Source organism: Homo sapiens, chromosome 14 (assembly GCF_000001405.40).
Source record: "Homo sapiens chromosome 14, GRCh38.p14 Primary Assembly".
Lineage (NCBI taxonomy): Eukaryota > Metazoa > Chordata > Mammalia > Primates > Hominidae > Homo > Homo sapiens.
In genome coordinates this window covers 85,393,879-85,420,289 of record NC_000014.9, presented here as the reverse complement: position 1 = coordinate 85,420,289, position 26,411 = coordinate 85,393,879, and the positions used below count along the sequence as shown (strand labels likewise).

At 37.1% G+C, this 26,411-nt stretch overlaps 1 long non-coding RNA gene across 2 annotated transcripts; it reads right to left on the bottom strand.

The window, feature by feature from the left end:
* Nucleotides 1-215: 215 nt before the first annotated feature.
* On the bottom strand, nucleotides 216-26,411 carry LINC00911 (long intergenic non-protein coding RNA 911). 2 transcript variants are annotated; one of them, NR_102737.1, is made up of 3 exons: nucleotides 26,391-26,411; nucleotides 12,254-12,387; nucleotides 216-606 (listed from the first exon to the last, which is right to left on the bottom strand). It is a non-coding gene; the product is annotated as a long intergenic non-protein coding RNA 911 (long non-coding RNA). The 2 variants fall into 2 exon arrangements; NR_102738.1 differs by lacking the exons at nucleotides 12,254-12,387; nucleotides 26,391-26,411 and adding an exon at nucleotides 26,331-26,375.

The window sequence follows — 26,411 nt, the reverse complement described above, 5'->3', positions numbered from 1 at the left end:
CTTGTTGTATTATCCCATTCATACTGATGTTGTTATATATATACATCTTCATAAGCCATGCCAGATTTTTTTTGGAAGTAAACAATAGTTAATTGATCTGAGAACTTGTGATGGCAAACATACAGATTCAAAGATACTTACAAGAAAGCAAGACTTGTCATCTACGATCTTTGCTTTCTTCTCTTCTAAAGATGGATTAATATCTAGCTTATGAATTCAAAGAAACAGATAACACTTTTTAATGTGAATCAAAGTGGTTGTTTTGTATACAGTGTTTTACAGTAGCTCTTGAGTAGATTTCCACTTCTTTTCTTCTATAGATTTGCTACAAAATTTTAGCTTCGTCATCCAATGAGACAATGTAGTTTTTGTTGTTTGTTTTGGTAGCAGGAGAAAGCAAGGAAAGGGGAAAGAGTACCACCGTCTTTTTTTGTGTTCTTTTTCTGTTGTTTATTGTTCAGTTGTTGTTTTGTTTTAGAGGGAGTCTGAAACTCCTCTATTACCCTTGTCCCTGAAAGGCACAGAAAGGTCAGGATATCCATGGTTGTAGCAGAACAGGTACATTCCAGAAAGGAGCTGTATATTTCATTGACCCATTCTTAATTCCTAGTGGCAAAGAACGAAATGAGAGAAACACTTTGAATGTAGGTTCTAGTGCTCCGTTCTCAAGTCTAAGTCTTTAACAGAAATGCATGAACCCCTTCATCAAAAACAAACAAAGATTAGTAATATTTTGAATATCGAGATTGGATAGGAAGCAACATTTATAGCACACTCTTGAAAGAACCACATGACAAATCCAACTGATGATTAGGAATTGTAATTGAACGGAAGAGGGAACTATTTCCATTGTCTACACCCTATCAGTGACCTGGATGCTAAATGAAATCTTAAAAAACAAAATAAACAAAAAAACCCACTTGCTTATGTATCCATTCATTCTTTTGCATAAGTCGATAGAGTTGGGCATTCAAAATTTTCAGCATTAGTTTAAGAAGTTTCATCTGTAAAAATCTGTATTTAAGAGAGAATGCTACATTTCTCTTTTATTCTTATTTCCAAAATTTGTCACATATGGAAAGCTTCAGTTTTTCAGTAGAATTCTTATTTATTATCAAAGACAGCTTTTGTGAGGAAAGCAACACCTTTTTTTGACAAACCCAATTTGTTTGCATATAAAATTTAATGTGAAAATTAATATTGTACTGTGTTTGCAATACTGTGAAAATACTGGGATCTTATTTTGACTAATTATACATCTTAACTTATCCTATAATGAAACATTTAGCTGAGATGTAGTCTTGCTTTGCACTTTCTTTTAAGTAGAGGTGTGAGTTTTTCTGTTTTGGCTGTGTTCCATTTTGTGCAATAAGATTGCATTTTCTTTTACAAAGTCCTCTGCTTCAAAACCAACTTTCACTTTCTTGTATAGAGTTCATATTTACTCTGGAGAGGTTTGCAAATCATAATGAGTTGACAGCTTTACAAAGAGCCATGGGATTCTTTGAGATTAAAAATAACAATTGAATATTATATATATTATGGGTTGCAAATTATGGCCCATGCCGAATCTGCCCTGCGGCCTCTTTCTGTATGGAACTCAAGCTGAGAATAGTTTTTATATTTTGAAATTATTTAAGAAAATAATATTTTATGATACATAAAAATTATATGAAATGAATTTTCAGTGTCCACAAATGACATTTTATTTGAATACAGCTGCACTGATTCATTTACATATTGTTTAAGACTTTTGTGCTACAACACAAAAATACTTGAGTAGTTATGACTGAGACCATATCGCCAGTAAAGCCTTAAATATTAATTATCTGGCCCTTTACAGAGATATTTGCTGACCTTGGTCTCTCTCTTTCTCTCTTTCCTTTTCATATATAGCTATAGATAGGTCGGTAGATTTATGATCTATTCATCTATATATGTGTATTATCTACCTATGATCTAGCTATATCTACATCTCTATATCTATGACCTATCTGCATCTATTTATATAATATCTATCAAAGAGAAGGAGAAAATGACATTCAATGAAGAAATATAACTGCCATTTAATCTCAAATGTGTTTGGACATATTTATACTAAAATGAACAAAATTTATAGTAATCAATATCTTGTTCTCATTTATTCTTCATGTGAAAATAGCACACGAATTAAGACAGAAGATCCATCCCATTTCATATTCACATTATTAGCCCATCTTCATTTACATAGATATACCACCTCCAGGCAAAGATGAGGTTTGCACTATTAGGCAGACACTGAAGTAAAAATAAACTTCTTTTCAACATGTGATTTTTCCAGCTATCGTGTCTTTGGCTCACACAGACTCATAAAAAGCTTTAAATTTACTACATTTCTAAAAGGATACAGTTTGTGCAGTCGGTAACTGTCACATTCTGTATAGACACTGGTGAAATATATTCGCAAAGCAAATCAGCTATTCCTCTCCTTTGCCCAGAGATGGAAAATCATTCGATCTCATAAAACCTTCTTATTTGATTTTATATTTTTATAGCTAAAAATATGAAGCCAAATAGTGACTTGGGTGGTAATTGTTGCTTTTAAAATGTCCTTTCTCTAATTTTAATGTCAGCATAGCAAATGGAGAACCACTATTGTTTGTTGCTTGATCATAATCACTTTCCTGAACTAGGAAAACCACAGAGAATGTGTGTGTGTGTGAGTCTGTGTGTGTGTGTGTGTGTTTGGGTGGGTGGGTGAGTCGGTCTGTACAAAATAAAAATACAGCATTTAATTTACACGAGGTTTGGGCTATAAATGGTGAAGAGGCAAAAATTTTTGTTATTTTTTCTAAATTAATGTCACTGAAGAACTGTGATTATTAATACTTTAAGTGGATGGTGCTTTCCAATTATAATTAATAATAAAACCTACCTGGATTTTAAAAATAATTGTTTTACTTGCTAATTCAGGCTAATGTCAAGATAATCCAATCAGTGTAGACATTTAACCATATTCAATTATTTTAACTACAACGATGTTACAGAGTTTGAAAGGCAAGTGCACATTCAATTTCTGATAAAATAAACACTTCACATTTCTTATTCTGAAATCACCTTGTAGGCAGGCTTATAAAATAACAAGGACTCTTTGAAATCATTATTTGCTCAGTGTGCTATTAATAATAATCTTTTCATGTTGAATGAATTGAAGATGAAGATCTACTCTTTAGCTCTGACAGTTAAGAGTAATCTTTTAGGAATGTGGGCAAGAGGCAAGAAAGGAAACGTGGGGATTTACATTTCTCAACAGTGCTGATCCCGAGAAGACATACTCATAAGGCACCATGAGCAGAGCCTCCATGTGAAGTCAGAATTGTCCTTCCTGTCTACACAGTTAGTTCAACTAATTTTACTGGGGTGACCACACATTGTCCTTATTTCATCACCTGTTTCCTCTGCTCACTAGACTCTTCCTCTCTACCCACAAATGCTACAGGACATTCTTTATTTCAGTACAGTGAAACTGACTCTGTAAGCTGCCCCTTCCTTACTGGTGAACAACTTCATCCAATTTTAGGTCCTTTCCATTTGTTTCAATATAGGATTTTGAAATAATTTGAATGCTGTTGGAAATGATACTTTTTGTTACACAAAACAATCCACTGGAACATTATTCTTGAATGAAAAAAAGTTTATACATTTCCTCTTAAAATAAGATGAATTCCTCTAAAAAGTAATTTTGTAGGAGAAATATTAAGAAACACTATCATTTGAATTTTCAAAGCATCTCATATTTCCAGTGTCCTGCTAAATCTAAAACATATTCTTTTATTTAAAAAAAAAAATTTAAAAAGAGAAAGTGTCTTTGCAAAACAGGAAAAAGTATTGACTTAAACATACAAAAAGTTACTGCCTTTTTTAACCACTTGGATACATGTGTTTTAATAGTAGATTTGTTTACATCATCAAATTCTTTCTATCTTTGCTATAGTAGACCCTAAATATTATTCCTACTAAGTTTCAGAAATATACAAATTATATCTATATTTTCTGTCCTGAACTATTAGAATAAATAACCTCTCATGTGACCATATAAACACCAGCCACATTCTAGTACAAAATGCTTTGGAATTGAAAAGCAGTTTTCAATTCCTACTTGTAGTGGGGTAACAAAGTCTTTAGGCTGGTTAGGGCTAAAAGCGCCACACACTTTGAAGATAAATTAGTTTCATTTTTTATTACTGTATTGCCAGCTTCTCTTCCAAATTACATTTTTAATAAATTTGATCTATAGCCATTTTGAAGGGTGAAAGCCCATAAACACATCTTTCTGCTTTAATTGCCTTTATAAAGCACTTACTCAAAAGGGTAGTTTTTCTTCCCAGTTGTACCACCAGTTTTTATAAGTGAATCTGCCTGCCTCTCAGGATAAACTGAAACTCACTGCTAAAAATGAATCCTGTACTGTGGGGCGTTAATATATTCACACAAATTTTTATTGCAACAAAAAGAAAAATAATTGCCTTTTCAAGGAGGTTGTATGACATTAACAGGTAACATTTATATTCCAATTTATTTACAATAACATACATATTATATTCTACATATCATGGTCCTATTGTCAGATCAACGCTGTTTGTGACTTGCAGGCAGTTAAAAACCCACACCCGTTGTCACAGAACAACAGGCTCGAGCAAGTTTTCTACTGGGCACTGAGCCACATGAATCCATGTATCTTTCTCTTCTCTATTTGTGTGTACACTCCTCCCTGGGTGATCTCATCCAGAGTCATGAACTTGCATTCCATCTACACGCCCATGCCTCTGTCTTTTGGATCTCTACTCCCATCTCCCCCTGAGTTCAGACTTGCACCACCTACTGGCTCTTCACTGACCGGCTAACTGATGCTCAAATTCGACGTATCGAAAGCAGAACTCGTAAGTCTTCCTGCAACCTGCCTTCCCCATCTCAGTCCCTAGCGTCAACATTTCATACATGGGACCAAAACCTTGTAGAAATCTGTGACTCCTCTTTATCTCCCACATTCCTCATCTGTTAGCAACTCCAGTGGTCTCTAACTGCATAATACAAACGTGTACACACAGAATCTGACCACGTCTTAACATCTATTCTGTGAATACTCCAACTAAGCCACAGTCTTCTCTCACCTGGACTGTAACATACTACTGACAGGTTTTTGTGGCTCTGATAATTCTCTACACACTGGCTATAGCGATATTTTAAAATGTGAATTAGATAATTTCTCACCCTTGCTCAAGACTGGCCAATGGTCTCTATTACACTCAGAATGAAATCCAAGCACCATGGGCTACAATGGCACACGTGAATCAATCCTTACCTTATTGCTCATGTCACCCCACTCTCCTCCTCACGCATATTGCTCGAACCATGTTCACTGACCTTCATGCTTTCTGTGAGCAAGCCAAGCCCACTCCTGCCTCAGGCCTTTCTACTTTCTCTTCTCTCTGTCTGGAACACTCTTCCCCAGGTTTTTGGATGGCTCACTTTCTTACTTCATTCATATTTCAGCTCAAATGCCAATTCCTCCGGAAGGCCTTTCCTTTCTAATCTAGCATCTTCTACTCCATCTGTCACTCAGTAATTGTGCCCTTATAACATTTTTTCTACATAGGTCTTATCGCTCTCTGAACTTTTATTATACTTATTTATTTTTCTATTCATTTGTGGATTTTTTCTTGCCTCTCCCAGCAGAATGTTGGCTCCGTGAAGGATAGCAGCTAGTCTCTTTTCTTCCCCACTGGATCCCTTTTGGTTCCTGTATCCTTTGAGGAAACAAATAAATCTTCCCACATGGGGATATTTGATTCCACTACCGTGTAGATGGCCACTAGGTATGGGATGTGGAAGGTATAAAGTAAACTCACACACTGAAATACTAGGCCCAAGTGAGCAGATGCACTTCCTGTCTCAGTCACGATTTCCTCAGCAATTGCAAGAATGTAGGAGGGGAGAAATGGGGAAGTACAGAAAGAAGTGTTGAGGCGTTGGCATTCTGGGATGAATACTAAGAATATGTGGGGCAAAAAAAAATTGCTGTGAACATCTCACTTCCAATAACACATAAGAAAGCAATTGAGTCAAACTGGAAAGTGAAAATCAGAAATTCATGATTTTTTTTAAAAAAGTTTCTGATTTCCCACATAAACTCAGAAGTCATTACATTTTAGCAGTTGTAAATATTGCTAGGAAGCATTTTAACAATGCAGACTTTTGAGCCTCTGGGATTTGGGTCTGTTCTCTAGAGGATTCCAACGCAGGTGGTCCGTGCACATGTTTTGAAGAATGGGGACTGGGAGCAGTGAGTGCTCTAAACTATTTTATTTCAATAAAGAAAGGAGAAATATTTTCTAGCTTCCTTTAGATGCACAATAAAAATATATTTTTTCACATATTTATTTATTTATTATTTTACTTTAAGTTCTGGGATACATGTGCAGAAGGTTCAGGTTTGTTACATAGGCATGCATGTGCCATGGTGGTTTTCTGCACCCATCAACCCATCATCTAGGTTTTAAGCCCTGCATGGATGTCCTAAAGCTCTCCCTCCCCCTCCCCTCCACCTACTGACAGGCCTCATTGTGTGATGTTCCCCTCCCTGTGTCCATGTGTTCTCATTGTTTAACTCCCACTTATGAGTGAGCACATGCGGTGTCTGGTTTTCTGTTCCTGTGTTAGTTTACTGAGAACGATGGCTTCCAGGTTCATCCATGAGCCTGCAAAGGACATGAACTCTTTCATTTTATGGCTGCATAGTATTCCATGGTGTATATGTGCCACATTTTCTTTACTGAGTCTGTCATTGGTGGGCATTTGTGTTGGTTCCAAGTCTGCTATTGTAAGTAGTGCTGCAATAAATGTACGTGTAGATGCATAATAAAAATATTTTTAAGATCATCTATGGAAACATCAGTCTTGGCTGATTTATTTCAACATTCACAAGGCATTATTTTTGTGAACTTATAATTAATTTTCAAGAATGTCATTAAAACAGTTTTAGCATTGCCTCAGCCCCTCCACTGGTGAAAACTAGGATGATTACAGCGTCTATATCACGTGATTATTCAAACATGTTAAGTGATGGAAACACTTAGAAAAGTGCCTGGCCTATAGTAATCTCAGTAAATATAGCAATTGTTATTATTATTACTAATTGAAATCATGATCTACAAACCTTTTAAAGTTTCATTCATTTGACTATAATTTTAATTGGTTTACAACAGTTTTTGCTTAGGGTGTAAACAGACATCTAAATTTTTATACATTCTGGTTAGGCGCATAAATATTCTGTATTAGAAAAATCACAACATTTACCTGAGTCAGCATGATAATTAACCCAATTTTAATCTCTGAGAGTGAATTGAAATGGGTATTTCTTTTGAATCCACACTATTAAACTTTAAAAAGTCATGTATTTTTACTGTAAAAAATCAGGAAATGCAGAAAAATATTACCTATAATATTACCTGTAATCCATTAATATATTCCATGCAAAATGTCATCTTATGGTGTGTATAAATTTTTCTTTTTTTGAAACAAAGTCTCACTCTGTCGCCCACTCTGGAGAGCAGTGGCACAATCTCTGCTCACTGCAACCCCTGCCTCCTGGGTTCAAGCAGTTCTCATGCCTCAGCCTCCCGAGTAGATAGGATTACAGGTGCCTGCCACAATGCCAAGCTAATTTTTGTATTTTCAGTAGAGACAAGGTTTTACCATGTTGGTCAGGCTGGTCTCAAACTCCTGACCTAAGGTGATCCACCCACCTTGGCCTCCCAAAATGCTGGGATTATAGGCGTGAGCCACCGTGCCCGGCCGCATAAAAGTGTTTATAAAAATAATGCCAAAACTTTACATATTTCTTAATTTTTTCAATAAAATATGCCTACAAATTTATTCTATGTTAATTTTCATTTTATTAATCTCATTGTTCAATTACATGACTCCTGGAAATTAAAAAGACAGTGTGCCCTTACAGACAAAGTATGGGCACTATTTCATCAGCGGGAAGAAAGAGAAGTATGGTGCCCTAATATAAATCCATCAGTGTGCCCTTCCAGGATTCCTCAAGGAATGAACATTTTCCAGGTATGCAATCCCCAGAGTGATCTTTGAGTGAGGACAGCAGGTCTGTCCTACCTAGAGCTTCCTAATGGAACACTTTAATGACAACTGCTAGTTTAATAATGTACAATGCAATAACATTTGAATAGCAACAAAAAATGCAATAAAATTTGAATAACAGCAAAAGAGAAGTCAAGTAATACTTAATCTGCTTTAATGATGTATTATTTTAGAAAGGGATATTTTCTTAACAGGAACTCTCACTCAAAATTACAGCTTTATGCTTTTAGCATGGATATTTAACACACAGGTCAGTTCCTGAGTATTCATGTGGTCAGATGTACCTTTGCATAATATTGTAGAGAATTCTCTTTTAACTGACAAGTAAGTGGAAATCCTGCCAACATTTCCTTCTTCTTTTTAAAAAATTTGTTGCAGGCTTATGCTCTACAGACAATACACCCATCCTTCAACTCTACAGCTTCAATATAATTGTATTTCCCTTTATTTCTCACTTTTATGTCTTTGTTTTGAAAGGCAATGGTGTGTAGATAAAAGCTTACGAGTAAGATAGACAGCAAATTGAATTTCACCTCTCTATTTGTTTACTGTGTGACCTTGGACAAGTTGCTTAACCTGCCTAATTCTCAATTCTCTAATGTGTAAAATGGAGATGATGACATATTTTATAATTCCGTTGTGAAATTTGAATAATAAGAGGCATAGAGATCATCTGTCACCTTATGCTGTCTCAATGTAAGTCTCTTTCCTTTCCTTTTATTGTATTGTACTTTTCTGCATATTTTGTTGTGTACTTGTCACATATGTTAAATTACCTCATCTCTTTTGCTTTCATTATTTCCAGGATGATCTCAGCTGCATAAGATATGTCTGGGACCATCCGGCTTATCAGTCTCTCTCTCTCACTCTTTTGTTTGTTTGTTTGTTTGTTTGTTTTTTCATCTTTACATTTACTTTCTTTCAAATCGAACATGTTTTTTCTTTGGAAAAAATCTGAAGGTGTCATATGCAAGTACATAACAAACAGCTTCACCTCAGTCCCTTATCATTTTAATTTATTTTTCATATTCCTATGGTGATGGCTCTAGACCTGACATATAACACATTCGTATGTGTTCCCAACTTATCTAACAAACCATCTCCTTGCAAGTTTTTCTTGACCTAAATGGTATAAAATAGCCTTAGCTATGTTCTTTGTCATGATACCAGAATACGATCCACTAAATAGCTTAGTGGCCGAGGACTGCATGGGCCACATCCTGCCCCTTGTCAGACTAGCATCTTTTCCTGGAAAACCAGTTTTATCAGGATAGTGATGTTTGTCACTTCTAGTTCTTCATACCTTCTCAAACATCCTTTAAAAATACGATCACAAGATTCTTTTATTGTGTTAGTTATTTCATTTTTACTTATGATTTTTTAGCTAAAATAAGATATACAGTTTAGGGTCAGACCACTGGGACTGAGGACACCTCTCTTTTTCAACTCACTGATTATCCGGTCTCCAGGTAGTGGAGTGAGGTCTCACATTGAATCACTGGATTTTTCATCTTCGGCTTCTTTTCTGTTGGGAAACCGTATAATTTTCTTCAAAGGCCTTTTCTTAAAATTGAAACAGTTAAGTTATCCAATTTCTTTTTCCATATCTTTTTTTTTTTTTGCCCTCCATATGCACTCTGAACCCATCAACCTCTCGTCTCTTCATGAACACAGTAAGATGTTTGTAGCATGCGCCTTCATTTTTGCCTTACCCTCCTCTTTTTCTTTTTTTCAGTTTGACTGTGTCAATACAAATGGCCCTCATTTTGCTCTCTGATTTATGCGGTAATTTCTCATCCTTGTTTTCCCCCTACTGCTCTCATTAAATGTATCTGAAAGTAAAAATATCTTCAGCCTATGAATTGTTTGAGCTTCACTTCTTCTTCTCAGAGTGCTTCCTCTAGAACTTTCTCGATGGACTCTGATGTCCTGACAAAGGAAGAAAATTTTTCACACCTTGGATATTTCTTCTAGAAGTTGAATCATCTTCCTGTTCTGTAGGAATAAGGTTATCTTCCAAGTATATTTTCCAATATATGCAGCTTTTAGGGAAGATATTAATGATTTGAAAAGTTGAACTTTTCTTTTTCTCTTACACATAAACCCTCACAGTCCTGTGACTCATCTTTTAGAAGTAATTTTTCAGCCTTTCTGCATGTATATACATGTCAACACTTTAAATTCTGTATTTGTTTTAGATTGGTTCTATATATTTGCATCCTTTGTTTAGTTTTATTTATTTTTAGTCCTCTCGACTTTTTTTTCTAAGTAAATCTTATATTCTCTTTAAATGCAGCCATTTTTCTTCTTTAAGGAAGGGAGACATATCCTTAAGTAACCTATCCATTTGTATTTCTTGGTGCCATTGTCTGAGAGGAAGAGGGGGCTGCAGCATTTGCTATAAAATCAAATCTCTCGCTTTCCACAATTGACATCCATAATCATCCATCTCAGGGTTAGTTCATTTACCTCTGAAATGTTTACATGCCCTGTCAGCTAATGTGATGGTTGCAGATATACTCACTCTCAGTACAGCTATTTCCCAATTTCCAGACTGACAATAAAACAAGTTTATTTAGTTTGAGTTCCAAAGGCTGTAACTCTAGCTTCTGCATTTTAATTATCTGTTTTCATTATCTTCTTTTCAATTGTGATGTGCTCGTATTTATCCTTCAAGGTTTTGTGCCAAACCTCTTTTTTCCTTTTCATGATTCCTCATAATCCACAGACTTATGGAAACACAATATTTCTTCCTGTTTTTCTCTTTTGCATTTGAGTTTCATTTATTTTGGACTTTTGGAGGAGTTTCCTTTTATTTATTTAGTGATAATTTTGTCCTTTCCCTTATTTATTTTCTTCTTCCTCTATAAACATCCCCCCAATTTCTGTTCCAATGTACACATTCTCTTTCCTTCTGCAAAAACCTTGCTTTTTCTTCTTTTTATTTCTACAGATCTTGATCATACTAGATATTTCGTTTACTTGTATTTTATTCTTCTTTCACCATTATGACTTAAACTGCTAATTTTTAATCATCTCCTCATCTCTACCTAAAGCTACTTTGAATAATTTTCCATATCAATTTATTCTAGGACTCAATATTTTCGTTGTGTACAATTTTATTATCATGTGCTTTTAGGAATTTTCATAAACACTTCCCTTTCATCACAAAAATTACAAAAGGTACAATAACACCTTAGCAGCTAATATTAAGCAGTGCTTAATAATGTTTAGGAAGTGCTTAATATTATTTATGAAAAGCCTTCTATATACCAGGCCCTCTGCTATGTGTTTTACCTAGCAGAATTCTCTGACTCAGCTACTGTTAGCCTTTCATTTTATAAGGGACAAAACTGAATTTTGCAGAAGCTATCCAAGTTAGGGTTTAGTTTGCTGAGAGTCACACAAGGAGTAAGAGGCAGATCTAGTTTTCAACCAGCTAGTCTGACTCCAAAGTCTGCCCCGCCAACCCACCACCCACCCCTGCCAGGAATAAATCTTCCTCCGAGAATAAGCTTTATTTAGGCATCATTTTAGTGTGGGGCAAGACATGAAATTAAAGCCCTAGAGAAATCATTTGGATACTATGATACAGGCCTGGTAGCACACATTGATGAACACATTCATCCAAGTGGTGCTGCTGCCCTTCTTCTCCAGCTGAGAGCTGCCACGTGCTCATGAGGAGGGGTCAGGATTTGCCAGAGTTCTTAATCAGTCAAGGCAATTAGAAATCCAAGTATTTTGCGTGTGATGTTTCCCATTAGAAAGGTTGTATCTCCTTAAAAAAATTATACGTCATGCTGGCAAACCAAAGACATCTGTATGTGTAATACAATCTGTGGAATTAGATACCTCCATTTAACTGACTCCTAAACCTGTTATATCCCATGGATACCATTTTTCCTCTAGAATAACATGATTAGGAATATGGTGCCTACTACATCTCCATTCTCACCCTGAGGTTGTGCTCTAGAACCAACCAACTAGGTTCGAATCTCAGCTTTTCCACATGACCTTATGCAATTTACTTAACCATTCTATGCCTCAGTTCTTTGCTTATTAATATAAAATAGAAATAAAATTATCTGCATCAGAGATTTTAAATACTTGCCTTTAAAAATACTTTTCACCAGTTTCACTGGAGAGTGGGGGAGTAAAACTTCTCATCTGCCAGGCCAACAGTCAGTTCACCACTGAGTTTTTATGAGGATTGAGTAGGTTAATATTTGCATATTTAATAAAACACTGAAAGAACAAGAATAAGAAAAGATCACTAGGCTTTAACTCAGGATCCCTGAAATTTGAATTGAAGTTTTTAATCCACTCACTATGTGACCTTGAGAGAGTCACCTAAATGCCATTTGTGTCCTCATCTGTAAAAATATATTTTGTTTTGAAAAATATGTGTGTTATTATCTCAAGGTATTTGAGGATCCCTCATGTCTATTCTTTACAGAAGCAAAACATCGCATCTTTCCATTTTATAGGACAATGCCAACTCCTGAAGATCTTGCTCTAAGTGGTCAAAGGGTGAGCATACTGCAGGCAACAAAAGATCGAGCATACTACAGGCAACCAAGGGTCAAGACAAATTTACAGGATCCCTCCCTACCGTGGCCACTACCCAGCTTCCCAGTAGTGCCTTCCTAGTAAGTGTCTATCTGGTCTCAGTAAAAGAATACAGAGTCACACAAAGGACATGAGCTTTTGGAGCAGCCTTATGCACACTGAGCTCTATTAATGATGTGGTTATAAAAGGAGGCTGAAGTAGTCATGGCTGAATGTTAATTTAACTACAGCCATATACAGTGCAGTTTAGAGCGTAGGAAGGAAAGGTATCCCATTAATATCTATGAGTGTGTTAGGACTCCCATGTACCAGTCAGGGTGAGTGACATAGCAGTCCTAAAGAACAAACTTTATGAGACACAAACTGTTCTTGGAATTCAAGATCTGCGAAAATAATGAATATTTCCCCAACACTCTTACCTTTGAGAATAGAAATACTGTTCCATAGCATAGTGTTTGATATTATTTAAGAATTAATTTTAGAATGGCTTCTTCTAGTTTTATTGATCAGAGGCTGGAGCTGCTTCTTTAAAAGGAATTGTGCTAAAGTGTAAAAGTTTAAGGATTCAGAAAAGTCTTATGTTTTTATGTTGGCTAGGTCAACGAGAAATAGCTCAACAAGGTAGAAAGATAATAGAAGACCACACTTTGTTAACAAGACTTTCTTTGGTCGCTCATCAACTTTAAAATTATTGGAGTCCTCTAATAACATTTACCTTCTGCTTCTCTTTTGGCAGTTTTTGCTTCATATTAAACTTAATTATTTATGTGTCCTCAGATTGTGTGTTGCTTATAGTCATAAACTGTCTTTTCCCTAGAGTTTCTCTGCACCAGCTAGCACAATGTCTTTCAAGTGGGATGAGTATAAGTGTTTGCTGAATGAACTAAAATACACATGTCTTCATAGGTATACATATATACTCATCCTAAGACATTACTTACTTATTTTCCACTGATCTCAACATATGTTTCGGTTCATATGACTCTAATACTCTAATTTCTTTTAGAATAGGTTGAGCCTTGTTTACAAGAAGAGGGGGTGGTTTACACACACACACACCCTCAACACACCCTTGGCAGAAATCTTGATTAGTCAAGGCAATTAGAAATCCAAGTATTTTGCATGTGAAGTTTCCCATTAGAGAAGTTGTATCTCCTTTAAAAAATCATACATCATGCTGGCAAACCAAAGACATATGCATGTGTAATACAATCTGTGGGATTAGACACCTCCATTTAACTGACTCCTAAACCTCTTATAACCCATGTATACCATTTTTCCTTACCCCAAAGAATTCATCAAATCAAAATCCACAGAAATCAGAAGGAACTAAAAATTAGTTAATTCAGTCTCTAATTAATATTCATAGATCTATGGTTATACAATATTTGATTACAAAGTCATTTAAAATGGATTAATGGAACAAAAGCTTTATGGTTACTAATAAGGACTAAATGTACATTATGATTATTAAATAATAGAAACTCCTAGAAACCTGATTGTATACATATAGGAAAACTAATGCAAAACTACAAGTAGTTTCAAAGATGATTTTTTGAAAAAAAAAATTCTAAACCAAACACTATTTCCCTTGACAGATTTGCTGCCCATGGTAATGGAGACAAATACCTGCAGAAGAACATAATCAAAACTCAAAGGAAAGTAAGGAGGAGCAAGTTTTTTAAAAGGAATACAGTTTGCAATCCTCTTGTTACTAATTCTTGTTGATAATTGATTTTGTGCTTAAATCTCACAAGAATAAACAGTTTTTAGCAATGCTTTAAATTCTTAGCGTTTTCGAGGAAGCAGTTGTGATCAGTGAATCAGATCTGACTTAATCTGATGATTGAGTATTCTTTTCAATAGAAAAGCCAAGAAGAGCTGGATACTATTCGAATGCTTCCTAAACCCTATTTCAACACTTTTCAAATTGAACGTACTCTTTTCCTCCAGATATGTGCTCTTCCTTTTATGTCTTGTGTCTCCATCAATACATTACCTTCCTTCTAATCACCAGAGCTAGACAGTCCTGGTTATTGTTGATACATTCTTTCTCATCCACAGCCACATTTAACAGATCAATTATCCTCTGAAAACCCTTTCCTGCCTTGATTTTCCCACTGCCACTAGTTCAAGCCTTTGTCATCTTTTTCCTACTGCAATAATCTCTCACTGGCCCTTCCCTCTCAATTCAACTTTCTATAATACCACTGGATTTATCTTCCTACAATACTAATAAGCTTACATTGCTTCCCAGGTTAAAAAAAATAGAAGAAATGATTTCTAAAAGCACAGATGTCTCTCCTTTCAATCTGGGTGCCAGCAGGCATATTTTGTTTAGTCCACGGTCTAAAATTTTTTTGATTGGTCAACATTTAATAATTTGTAGAATCAACTTATGATATTTACTGTTTTTCTTGAGAAAGAGCAACCAGCAATGAATGGTAGGTTGACATTTCTCCCTTTGGACTGATTTGCTGTCCCCACATACTCCTGCAAATGTAAGGCTTCTCTATGTCACTACAGTCCCCATCACTTCCTGTTGTCCCCATGTCTCCTTAGCAATGACAACTTCTGTTGCTTTCACTTGTCATATCTTTTTTCACTGTAGTTTTTCTTATTTCCAACCCACTTCCTCCTACTGTATGATAATGTCCATGTTTCTTAGCACAGCATTCAAGGCCCTTACAGGCTGGCTTCACTATCCTCTCCTTATTTTATCCTCCTCTATATCCCACTTTATATTTTAGCCATATTAGACTGCCCCCTGTTCCTAGACATGTATGAGCTGGGGGTTTCAAGTACAGATGGACTCAGACTGTTTGGTGTCAAATTTCCATCTTTGTTAGCTCTGTTATCTTGGATAAACTACCTGACCTCTCTGTGGCTTGGGTATTTCATTTCTATACTGGAGATGTTGGTTCCTACCTTCTACAGTTATGATAATGATTTAAGAGAGTTAATACATAGGAAACTTTTAGCACTTAATAAATGCTCAGTAAGTTTTAGGTATTGTTAATTTCCCGCCAAATATTTTACTCATGAAGTTCCATCAGTTGAGCATAACTTTTTTGTTTTGTTTTTTTGCCTGGTGCACTTCTACCTCTTTAATATTCAACTTAAGTGTTACATTTGGGAAATGTTTTCCATTTCCCCCATCAGAATTAATTACTCCTTTTGTTTATGTAAGTACTCATAGCCTAATTTGGTTATACCTCTTTTATGGATTTGCCATATCTCCCACTGGATTTTCAGCAACTTCAGGGAAAGGAGCATGTCTTACATGTGACTTTATGTTCTGAATATCTAGATGAGTGCAGTACAAATAGTAAATGTTCAGAAAAAGTATTGCTTGAAGAAAAGTGAATTTATGAGCTTGTCTTTGATGAATCAAGTAATTATAAGCTGAGTGAATCTTAAAGAGAATCATATACAATTCACTTACTGGAAAAGTGAAAAAAAAAAACCAAACAGATGTGGAAATTACTATGGACAATTAATGAAGTAGAACAAGGACTAGGCCACCAACACCATTACCCTGAACTTGCACTTCTGTTATTTATTTATTTATTTTTAAAAGGTATTCATGAGAAGCCCCTACATTAAAATAATAGTGGGGTCATGCAGGCAGGTCTCCTGCAACGTAATTGTCTGCCAATGTTATGCCACCAAACCACATGTCAGGATGAAGATGATGGCAACAATATTGTTGAGGGACTATAATTTATGAGGTACAAACTTGCCATTGCCAGCATCTCTTTTGTGCAGGGGACTTGTATCATCTTCCCACTCTTCTCAAATCACTCATTCATACGCTGCCCTTATCTCCACTCAGAGGACATGAGCTGGGGAGGGAACTTGAGGGTAGGGAACCAGTTTCAATCTATTTTGTAGCTCCAGTATCTAGAAGAGTTCTCAGCAAATTATAAACACTCAGTGGATTTTTTTTTTCAATAAGTCTGTGGAACAAAAGTCTCAAGAAGTAGAACATGGAGCTATGGAGATAGATCACAAGATAGAGTCAACAATTTGCTAGGCTCATGTAACAACTTATTGCTGAGGACTCACTGCTGTCTGTTCATAACACTTATCTTCCTTTCTTTATACTCCATACTGGACCCAATGGATAGAAATGATTAATTCCCAGTAGAACTTTTCTATGTGTGCTCTAGGCTATTTTTTTCCACTTTCTGTTACAAATTTAGTTTGCCACTACACCCAATTTTTTTCTTTTCCTGCTGTGGGCACTATTTCAATACCTAAAAACTCTCAATTTAAGTAGAGGTTTGTAGTTTCTCCCAAAACTAAGAGCCAGCATATGACAGCAAGAGGAGATATTTCAACAGTAGCTGATCACAAAATCTTGAAGTGTTCTTGTGCACATAGGTTAAGAAAATGCATCCATGTAGGGTGGTTAGATTCGAAAGCCTAGAAGGTATAAGTTTAGAGAAACTGTGAGTACTAAAAAATTTAAAAGAAATTGGAACCTCAAGGTTTGAGTGTAAAGCCAATATTTTTTTTTTTTTTTTTTTTTTTTTTTTGCGGAAGGCAGGGGAAGGTGGCAGGGGTTTGGGAATGCTTTTTATTTTCAGCCTCAGATGCTCTCATAAGAAAGTAAACCCAAGACTAGGTGAGAATTGTGTGGTTTCATTTTGTCAAAACATATTGCTACTTATAAGATTAGGGACGCTGCCAATAAAATATTTCTTCAACCCTCGAGGTTCTACAAGAATAGACTCTTGGATAAGATTATTGTTAACTGCGCAAGTGTTGATATAGCCGCGAGTTAATAGCTACTGGCAAACAGCAGCCTTTTTTGTTCTGTGTGAATAGTTCCTCCTCTACTACTCTGCCAAACTAAGCACATTTGGTGTGTTTTCAAAGTGGCACACAGGAGGTCAATTCATTAATCATTCTCAAATAGTGGGAAACATAGACTCCTGTCTAGGAAGCCACTGGAAATGCAGTCTTTCTGTTTTCCATTTTTAGTTAGAAGGTGATATTCTGTCCCCTAAAAATTTCTTCCTTCTTTGTCTTACCTCCTCAATATCCTATACATTTCTCATCTCTTTATGTGAGAATTCCAATGAATGGATTATTTTAAGTAGAGACTTGAGTGGGATTTGGTAAAAAGAGGATATTTTGTTTTTAATCATGTTTTACTCTATTTACATATAGTGTATAAAATACTTGGCCAAAATCGGTTTTTCCGAATTTTACCCCACTAAGAAAGTCACTTCTTTGGGCACGATGCATGCTCAATGTTTGGTAACCACACATCTATCTCAGGTAGATGGGACATAGATGAAGCTAATTTGAATATCACCCCCTCTCCATCCTAGGCTGACCTCGCAAGCATGGGATTTGGTGGCAGATAGACTTGGGTGGATGTCTGGCTCCAATTCTTGCTAAATATGAGACACTGGGCTTACAGAACTTCTCAAAGCTTTGCTTTCCTCTCTCTAATCTGGGTCTAATTGTACAATCTATCTCACAGAAGAGTTGTGAGGCTACATTTGATAATGTATGTCAAATATCTCAGCAGAAAGAGGAAACTGCCTCCCAGTTTTCTCCTTTCTTTCCCTTCTTTTCCCTCCCTCTTTATTCTTTTTCCTCCTCTCTTTCTTTCTTTTCTTCCCTTTCTACTCTTCATCCCCCTTTCCTTTGTTCTCATCTCCCATACCTGAAATGCATCCCTTTGCTCCACTTTCTCATATGAATTCCACTAGAAAATGATTCATACATATTTTAATTGATTAGGAGTCTATAAACAAATGAAAAACAAGGAACTTTTTCCTCTAACCTGAATTCTATTTACATAGAAAATAAACTAATTTTTTAGTATAGAATTTCTTTTTTTCCCCTGAGGCTTCTAGCTGGAAAGGCCTTCAGATTTTGGATGACACTGACACAGCTGGCTGTTTTGTTTGGTGGAGAGAATTACAGAGCTGAAAACTGAGTGTAATATCAGATGGAATTCAAGAGCCTTTCCTCTCTGCTCTCTGGATCTCAGTGAAATATCCTGTTTGTTTTGAGGGTCAAAATGAGTTCTACTCAGTAATTGAATGCAGAGCATAAAATCCTTGCCCATTTTCGATTTGAAGCTTCCAAAGCTGATCAGGCAACAGACCTCTGACATTTTGTTTGTTTTCATGTGAATATAAAACTCAAATATTTAATTGATTGTGAGCCTCTATAATATGTGGTTTTGCCTTCATTTACAAGCATCTCCCTCCCTCTCCCCTTACCTCTGCTCTGAGTGCCCGGCTTTCCTGTAGTCCTCAGCCTTCTTTGCCTTCACCAAAGCCCACAGTACACTTGTCTAATCTTTTGCATGCTCATTATTCAGAATGGGCAAACAAACAAATCCACTTGAGAAAACACTTTCTAAATTTAATTTTATCTTATTTCCAGTGCTCCTTCCTGCAATTATCTTTGCTTTCTCAAAATGTCTTGACTTCTTTCAGGTTGTAGATTTGATGCATGGTCACATTTCTCAAAGTATAACGCCTGATTCTCTTAATGGTCTTCTGAGAAAGAATCCGAAAGTTATTTCTAGTTAAGTTACATCCAATTACTCGACTAAATATCCCAGGTGTTCCCTGGCTTAGGTGCTAAAGACATCACCCTTTCACATTCCTCCAGAGATATGATACATACCAGTTTTGGCTTGATCATCCAAGTAGGAATTGGACATCACTGTAAACAGTTGTCTCCAAAGAAACCTGGCTGGCCCATGTATGACCCCAATATACTCTCTTCTTCTTCAACTGCCTTTAGGTTTCTCCAGACACTTCCTATATTTGCAGTTGATGTTCTTTCTTTTCTTCACCATTAGTTTCTTATGCCTATATCTGCTCAACTCTTTATCACTTTCTTTTCCATTTTTTTAGGAGTATTTATGGCTTGTGCTTCTTACAAAGATAAGGTGAAGAAAAATAATCTTACTATTTAAGAAGCACACAAAAATGACAATCAATGGAAAATATAGCTCAGTCTAGGAACACAAACAGATTCTTTCATGACACCAAACACACTTGACAGCAGGGCTGCAGTGCTATTCCCATCTCTCTGTCTTGGCCCTAACACAGTACCAGCTACAGAGTACGAGCTTTGTAACTGGTTAATGGATGGCAGTGTGGATTCCCCTTCTTTTCTTAAAATCAGAGCCTAACACAGGCACAGTGAGATGTTTGCTATTTATGTGATGATTTCGTATTAGGACAAGATTGCCTTTTTTGGGGGCAGCTTAAGGGATATTCTATACTTGTGAATTAAATTATATATAATTATATATAGAATGGTAGTCATGCACACCTATGCAATGAACACATTAGTGGATAGGTAAAAAAACTGTGGTCATATAAGGCTTCAGAATTTGGGATTCAGTCTCTATGAGGAGAGTCCTCAAAGGTAGAACAGCATTTTCAATACTGAAAACCTCACGCCGTGGAGTTCTTTTGACTCCCCAGATGCTGGTCATAGGCCAGGATTTTTGGCTTTTACACTGACTAGCTGTAGAAACTTGAGGAATCAACCACTCTGGGCCTTACTTTTGCCATTCATAAAATAATTAACCTTAAAAACTGCCAAAATTAGATGATTTCCTTGGAAAGGTCTTTATATATTGTTCGATTTATTGAGTTATGGGTTAAGCATTTAGTTATGTGAAGCATTTTAAACAATGACTGGCAAATAGTAAGCACATAATATTAGCTCTTGTTGTAGTTATTATTAGTAGTAGCATTACTGAGTTGGTGTCATTAGGTATGTGGCCCACACAAGGAGAGGTATGCCTTGGCAATAGTTGCTACTCAATAATTAGGAAGAGCATCAATCCGTGAGATAACTACATCACTTTACTCTCCTTGTTCATAGGAGCTACACAATACTTTTGCAATATAATGTGCCTTAAAAAATTTTTTTTGCATTACTTGTGGGGGATCAACACAGCCCCCACCTTTTCCCTACCACATTCTTCCCAAGAACAGAAAATAGCTTCTAAACTCTCACTGTACTTTAGAAAATGCAAAGAGACTGTATTTTTCGGGCAAAATTATACATTTTCTGGGGCTTCCACGTCTCCAAACCTACTGCCAGACTTAAGGACATTCTTGAAGTGGGTGCAGTAATGGAGGATAAAGCAGGAATGAAAATCTCTGAGTGTTGCTGCTTGTGTGTGGTCCCTCCTCTCCCCAGAGCCCCACCCTGCTGCTCTAGGAGACTTGCCAACAGCATTTTACCCAAGGGAAAGAATCTCCAGAGTGGCATTTCCCTCCTCAAAATGTGAGAAAAACCATGCCTAGAGAGGAGAGTTTCAGGGCTGATAGAAGGGGTGGAATGGAGGAAATATTCCAAATTTCTTGTTGTCAGTTTCCAAGAGACTCCTCTCCATTCTCATATATAGCCAAAGTGCTCATGGAAGAAGGGGAAATGACATTCATTCAGCCATTCATTCATTCATTCAAACATTCACTGAGGATCCAAGCAATAAAATGCAGTGTCAAGAGGAAAAAAAAATGCTACACAGTCCCACTTCTTAAAGTAGTGAGGAAAAGAGGAACTGCATAACTGAAACATAATAGTTAAGTCTTTAAAATATAAGGCATGAGGGGAACACAGAAGACAAAGTCTTAGTAGGTCCTGAGTGAGGCAAAGTGTGCGTGAAAGAGGCAAGGTGCTTCTAGGCAGAGGAACAACAAATATGAAGATGGAAGAGACGGAAGCAGCATAGTTTTTAGAGAGCTGAAAGTGGAAGCTAAAGAAGCCACAGCCAGGTATGAGTCGAGAGACAAGGCTGGATGGGTAGGCAAGGAAGGTATGTGTGAAGTTCACTTGCCATGCTAAAGCATTTGAGAGTTTTTAAAATTGTCCAATGGGAAGCTATTAAATAATTTTAAATAAGATAAAAGTTAATTCTATTTTGCATTTTAGAAACATGAAGCTAGCAAGAGTTTTAAGGGCAGATTGTTTATATGAGTGAGTGTTTTGGGGGGCTTGGGTGCACTTAGGACATGTTGGCCAAATAGTAGTGTATGCGAGTTATTCTACCAAGAAATGATACAGCCCTGAACTATGCCAAGAAACGGGGGATGCAAAAGATAAGATGGTGTGAAATGTGGAAAGAAAGTCCAGAATGAACACCTGGATCCTCACCTGGCCTCTCAGGTAGCTGGTGATGCTTATAACCTAATACAGAAGGGTGGGTTGGGCTGGGAGAGAATAGCTCCGTTTTGTTCTTGTTCAGGTTGAGCAAGCACTGGAACATTCACAAAGGCAGACAGCAGACGTGCTCATCAAAAGCATTTTTGCTGCATATTGGGTTATCAGGATGGACATGCATGGACTAATCAATGTGCTTCAATGAGAGCTGTAGAAAAATGGAATGAGCAACAAATGGAGTCATCATACAGCCAGCATCATATAGAAGGTGAGAACATGGACCCTAGAGCTACAGTGCTTAAATTCAATCTCCATCCTCATAACTTAGCAACTGTTCAGCCTTGAGCAAATTGTTTAGCTTCTCTGAGTCTCAGTGTTACCTTTAAAATGAAGACAATAGCAGTATCTGGTATAACCCTGTTATCAACAGTGAATAAATTAATGCCTATAAAATGCCTGGACCAGTGGGTGATACAAACTTAATAGTATCTTTTTTTTCTTTTTTTTTTTTTTTGAGATGGAGTCTCGCTCTGTCACCCAGGCTGGAGTGCAGTGGTGCGATCTTGGTTCACTGCAAGCTCCGCCTCCCCGAGTAGCTGAGACTACATGGTATGTGGCACCACGCCCGGCTAATTTTTTGTATTTTTAGTAGAGATGGGGTTTCACTGTGTTAGCCAGGATGGTCTTGATCTCCTGACCTTGTGATTCGCCTGCCTCGGCCTCCTGAGAGATTTTTCTAATGTATGAGAAGGACCAGGAAATATTTTTGGTGGGAGAAAACCAAAGCTTTAAGAAAAGCCTTATGGAGCCTCATCATTTAAAAGTAGATAAATAAATTGGCAAAGAAAAAAGGATGAAATATGGAGACCAAAAGAATGGACAAAAAGGCCTAGAGAGAATTATGTTATTGAAGCCAATGGAGAAAAGATTTTCTGAGACTGTTTAACATGGGCAAATGCACACACATGATTCAACTAAGGTTAAAAATTAGGAGTGTCTTTGGATTTGTCAACGTTAATATTTTCAGTGAAGTGAGCCTATTTTCAGCAAGAGGATCATGACCAGTAGGCTGAGAATGAATGAAGGACAAAGATGTGAAAATCCTTTCTATGTGGTGCTATTTCAGGAAGCTTGGCAATGTGAGGGAGGAGGGAGGGACAAGTGTGTCTGGAGGGATAAGGAAGGCTGAGGAAGTATTTCCGTTATTATTATTATTGGTAATTTTTGTTGTTTTTAGTGTGGGAGAGACATAACCATGCTTGCAAGGGAAGAGGAAAATGAGCTTGAACATACATGAAAGAGAATATATGAAGCCAGATTCCTGATAAGAAAGAAAGAAGAATTTTCTTTGCTTTCAGTGAGAGCAGAAAAAAGGCCTGGAATGGCTGCTTTTAGGCAAAGCACTATCCAGCTCTCACCCGAGTTCCTGACAAGGTGCTAAAAGGCCTAACAGTCTCTGTTTTGATATCAATGCTGTCTTACTATCTGATGTCAGTTATAGGTCAATCTATATTTTGCCTCTCCCCGTAATCCTACAGCTCTCGTCTCTGCTGCCCAACACGGTAGCCACGAGCTCCATGTGGCTATTTATATTTCAATTTAATTAAGAAGTCAGGTTCTCAATTGCAGTAGCCACACTTCGAGTACGTATGTGGCTAGTGGTTTCTGCATTAGGAAGCATAAATACAGAACATTTTCCTTAAAACTAAAGTTCCTCGGACAGTGTTTTTCTAGGTGATGAAATAAACACCATTTCTCTTACTGGGGTTTGTCACATGTGAGGACCCCCTGATGCTGCTCATATCATTACTCTATTGACCTTGAACCCTGAGCAGGGTCCTTGCTACCTGGCCTTCCCACTGTGCTTGTGGTCTTTCATTAATTCTCTCTGTGGGACTCCTCTGTCTTTTAATCTTTCACAGCACCCTAGGTTCCCATGATTCTCTCTGAAATTCCCTTTTTATTGGCCACAGCTGCCTCCCTTGAAGACCTTTGTAAACACCCTCTTGCCTACTGACCTTGGAGATACTATGTCAACCTGTTCTCTTTGTCCAACCCTGCAGTCCACCATCCGTTTAGTCCCACACTTCATGTTCAGAACTTCTCCTTACGCTCCTCCAATTTTAAGTCAAAGGCTGCCAGCGAAGTTCAGCACGTGGGCTTTGGATTCCAACAGACCAGCTGGTACAGCATTTTATGTGTGTAACATGGACATGGTTCTTAACCTGTTAGAACCTCACTGACTTCATCAGTGAATTCGTAACAAAAACATTATCTGCTTCCATGGGTATCATGAACATTATGTGACACAAATTTGTCTGCTTTGTAGCGTGATTCATGCTAAACTGCGCACTGTATTCTTTCTTGCTCCCTTCCTCCCTCCCTCCCTCTCCCTTCCTCTCTCTTTTTTTTTTTTTAAGTAATTTCAACTTTTATTTTAGATTCAGTGGGTCCTTGCGCAGGTTTGTTATATGGATATATATATATATATATGATGCCGAGGTTTGGATATGAATGTTCCTGTCATTCCGCTGGCGAGCATAGTACCCAACAGTTAGTTTTACAATCCTTATCCCCCTCCCACCAGTTCTCTCTTTTTGCTCCCTTCTCCTCTGTCTTGAGTGTGTTCCCAGAGACTCAAGGAGTCAGAGGTTATATTTGATTGTGAGTACGGAGGCCTTGTAAAAACACATGCACGCATATGTTTGTTGAAGCAGTATTCACAAGAGCAAAGACATGGAATCAACCTAAATGCTCATCAACGATAGACTAGATAAAGAAATTGTGGTTCATATACACCATGGAATACTACGCCACAAAGAAAGAACAAGATCATGTCCTCTGCAGGGACTTAGTTGGAGCTAGAGGTCAACCTTAGCAAACTAATGCAGGAACAGAAAACCAAACACGGGAAGTTCTCCCTTATAAGTGAGAGCCAAGTGATGAGAACACATGGACAAGTGGAGGGGAACAACACACACTGGGGCCTTTTGGAAGGTAGAGGGTGGGAGCAGGGAGAAGAACAGGAAGAATAACTAACAGGTAGTAGGCTTAATACCTGGGTGATGAAATAATCTGTACAAGAAACCCCCGTGACTCGAGTTTACCTATGTAACAAACCTGGACATGTACCCTTTAAGTTAAAATAAAAGTTAAAAGGAAAAAGAAATTCTTATTAGTCATCCAGAAGTGCCTAAACAACCATACTAGAAATCAAGTAGCCCTTATCCTTGCTTCCAGTTGCATGTACTCACTCCTATCCCTGCTGCTTCCAGTTGCATGTACTTACTCCAGTCTTGCAATTTAAGCTGCTGTTTGATACATTCACTGTGTAGGCGCATCCCTAGATAACCGATTGCTTGATTTAAACTGTGTTTCTGTCTCAATATAATCTTTACTAAAGCCTCTGGAATCAACAATTATTCAAGTAATTTTCAAAAAAAAAAATACAACCAATAGCCCTGTAGTTAGTTCCTTTCCACAGTTTTGACTTTGCATATGTTCAAGTCAGAATATTCTTTTTCTCACTGAGCATAATACAATTGCATAAAAAACATATTTCGGGCCAGGTGCGGTGGCTCATGCCTGTAATCCCAGCACTTTGGGAGGCCAAGACAGGCAGACCATTTGAGGTCAGGAGTTCAAGACCAGCCTGGCCAACATAGTGAAACCCCGTCTCCACTAAAAATACAAAAATTAGTTGGGCGTGGTGGCGCAAGCCTGTAATCCCAGCTATTCGGGAGGCTGAGGCAGGAGAATTGCTTGAACCCGGGAGACGGAGGTTGCAGTGAGCCAAGACTGCGCCACTGCACTCCATCCTGGGCGACAGAGTGAGACTCCGTCTCAAAACAAACAAACAAACAAACAAACAAACAAACATTTCACAGAGGATCAATGGATACCATTTTGTAATCATTTGTCTTCTTAAATGTCTTCTCCTTTTTCATATTCCTGGTTTCCATTTTTAAGCTAAGTAAATCTACACATGACTTTTAAAATATTTATTCGAACATACACCTAGACATTTGTTGATATATTTGTATATCATAACATGGAAATGGTGACTATTTCTGCTCATTTTTAACCTTTTCACATTTTAAGGTTTTATTTGGTCTCTTAATTGCTTTGCATGCTATTTAAAAGGAGGAAAATATTAAGAAAAAAGTGTGTAGCTCAAAGACAGCTTGAAATATTAATCACTCTCTGACTTGAGGACCCCGTGAGTAACGTCAAAACTCATAGTATCATAAATAGTCTTATTGTAATGTGACCATAAATGTTGCACACAAAGTCATGAGTCTTGAATAAGGCACCCTGTGAAGAACGTTCAAAGACCTACCATACTCTAAGGGTAAGCAACACCAGCGCTAGAGTTATGAACATCTGTTTGGAACAGTTTTCCAGTAAGAACTGTTCCTTTTGAGAGGAAAAATCTGAAGAAAACATCAAGTGCTTACCATTACATCATGCTACAGATTTTCTACACCTCCGTAAGGAACAAGGTTATATGAGCTTACCTCCCCCTGCCTGCATAAACT